Below are 3,249 nucleotides of genomic sequence, written 5' to 3'. Positions count from 1 at the left end.
GTCAGTGAAACTGCCCTCATGTCATGCACAACGGACATTCCTGGAGGTTCTACATTGAAAGAAGGACAACTCAGCCAGACCCGTGCTGGCAACTGTATTTAAATTATATCTTTAAATACACTTTTAAAATTAAATCTGTACCCTGTAGGCCCCCACTAAGCAATCTGTGTTGGAGGAAGGAGGAAGCAAAACAAGTCAAACAAAAATAAAAATAAATAATTCTAAAGCATATATGATCCACAAAGCAGTTTAAAAGGAAAACGGTTTTCAGAACCATTAATCACGTTATGTAGGGCTTGCTTTTATCCCTTGCAAAATTCCAAAGGGAGAATTTCTCCAGGGCAAAGTGTAACTAACAAAAGAAGCATTCGACAAGAAAGCAATCTCCCTTTCAGTGGCATATTGATACTAGGAGAGAAAAGCCACCTAATCAGCACTATAAGTAGGGTAGAGAGTGGGAGAGGTTAGCAGCAAAGACACAGGATTTGAAGTTCTGATTCTAACACTCAATTATGAGCCCACCGGAGTCACTCAAATTGGCTTAAGCTCACTTTCATTATCTTAGAAACAAACAAACAAACAGACAAAAAGCCAGGACCACTATGACACCTGAGCAGTAGGACTATTTTATTTTGAGAGCCAAATGACATATGCTCATAGAAGTGCTTGGTGAAATGTGAAACACTGTGAAATGATTGCTTTGTAGTTTTTAAAAACAATTGCAGGATAAATGAATGAAAGTTTTTGAACAAAAACAAAACCTGCATTTTGTATTCAGGTTTCACTTAAATAAACTGTTAAATATTAGGTATTTTAAATAGATAAAAATATTAAATAAAATATTGAGATATTTTATAGGATTTCCCAAATTACTAAAAAGCCATCTGCTTTTCCAGTATTCCCTTAAATGACCTATTATAACCCAAAATAATTTTTTTTTTTATTTTACACAGTGTCAAAAACCGGGGCAGCACATGATACAAATTTCTAAATTCTGTTCTACAAAATTGCCATCCTTCTCCTTCACTCAGCACTGTTTGATAACCCAAAATCAGAAAGGACTCAAGATGAGATAGGGTGGGAATCCAACCCACACTGCCTTCTAAGCACGAGATTTTAATCAGCAACACTCATTTTTAATACAATAGAGAAATACTTAGAAGAAACTAAGAATAATTATTGCATAACAGGGTGACTACAGTTAATGACAATATGCTACATTCTTGACATTTGCTAAAGGAGTAGATTTTAATTGTTCTCACCACAAAAAAACAGTAAGAGTGTAAGATAATGTATATGTTAATTACCTTGATTTAGCCATTTTACAATGTATACATATTTCAAAAAATGTACATGATAATATATTTAAGTTTTATTTGTCAATTAAAAATTAAGTACAGGATATTACCACTTCCTATGTCAAGGCTCTGTCACATGTAAGCAGATTCCTTTCGAAGTATGTTTGCTCTCATGAGCTCATGTATATTGCTATTCTAAAAACAGATGAGCTCTTTTAATAATCTGTCAAATTTATTTTAACACAATAACTAGGCCTTCAGGGTGCATCTGACTTGACCCTTTTCTGTACAGTAAGTCCTCAATTAACATCACCCAGAGAATCTTAGAAATTGTGACTTTAAGCAAAAGATGTACAGCAAGTCCTCAAATAACATCATTTTCTTCAACATCATTTCTTTATAAGGTTGATGAAAAAAATGGTATTGTTATGTGTCATTTCACTTAAAATGTGGCAGTTTCCAAGAACCCATCGGGGACGTTAGCTGAGGACTTCCTGTAGTTTTGTCTGATCTGTCCCACGTTCTAGCCACCAGCCACAAGTAGCTCTTTATATTTAAATTTAAATTAATTAAAATCCAATTAAAAATTCAGTATCTGAGTCACATTATCAATATTTTCAGTGCTAAATAGCCAGCCACATGGCTATTGCTACCATATTAATTACTGATTCATAAGATACCATACCATCTAATGCTACCATAGCAATTTCTGATAAGAACATTTTCCTCATTACAGAAAGTTCTATTGGACTGTGCTGGTCTAGCTTCTTTCTACTTAGTCCATGACAACTTCATGTTAAAAAAAGTGTAACATAAATACGTATGAAAAAGCCATTCATAGGAATATAGAGTTCTGATCTGCAAATGACTGGAAAAACCAAGGGTTTGGCCCAGATTTCTGCCTTCCTGTGAGTGAGATCATGTAATTCTTTATAAGGTGAAGTAACTCAGGCCCAAAACCACCAGGGAACAGGTTCAAGTTTATACAAAAAGGGTGTCAGACCAAAGTTTTGAAACTCGGTTCACGTTTTTCCTATTGCAATGCTTCTTTTATAATGTCACACTATTTCTTCTCATTCACTACATGCCTGTAAAAGACAAAATGCAACAGGCTGCAATTTTATTGACTTTGACAATAATTCTTTGTGAAATTTAAAGTCGGTTAGAGCATGTCTATAAAAACACATTCACGATAAAGCCATAAGCAAAAATACCACCTCATTTTCATATATGATTCAGGAAAAAATAATTGCTAAAATTATTGAGCAGCCATGTTCTATATACAGCAACACATACCTTAAGTACATCATTTTGTTATCATACTAAACAACCCTGATTAATTAGTATTATTTTGCCAATTTTATCAATGAAGAAACTGAAACTTAAGTAACAAATGTCTCAAGACTGAAATCCAGGTGTGTTTGGCTCTATAATCCATATCCCCAATCAGAGCCTTCTATCCATAATCCCCTGTGAAGAGTAAATCACAGAAAATGTTCTCTAACTTTTCATTCGGCTCTAACATTGCATGAAGGTTTTGTTTGTGAGTGAGAGAGAGAGAGTGAGAGAGTGTGTGTATGTGTATGAGTGTATTTGTGAAAGAGATAGAACACATTTTTCATAGTGCTCATATATTTTGGCTCAAATTTCCATTTTGATAGACTTATTTCAGGGGAATTAATTCATGTAATAAAGATAACAGAAGAGGAGAAAAGAGTGAAGAAGAAAAACAACAAGAACTTACTAGTTTATTAAGGATAGATTTATCACATATCTAGAGCACACAATTTCTTACTAGTACCTCTGCTCCTACTCTCTGTCTCTCTTTACATATTCATTCTAAGAAAAAAGAGTTCAATTTTTAAATTGCGGGGTAATATTTATGTACAGCAAGAGAGATCTGTGCTTATGATTAGAAACATAAACATAATATTCATTTTTTCCTTCCTAA

Source organism: Homo sapiens, chromosome 14, assembly GCF_000001405.40.
Source record: "Homo sapiens chromosome 14, GRCh38.p14 Primary Assembly".
In the NCBI taxonomy this organism is placed as follows: domain Eukaryota; kingdom Metazoa; phylum Chordata; class Mammalia; order Primates; family Hominidae; genus Homo; species Homo sapiens.
Note: the sequence above shows the minus strand (reverse complement) of the source record.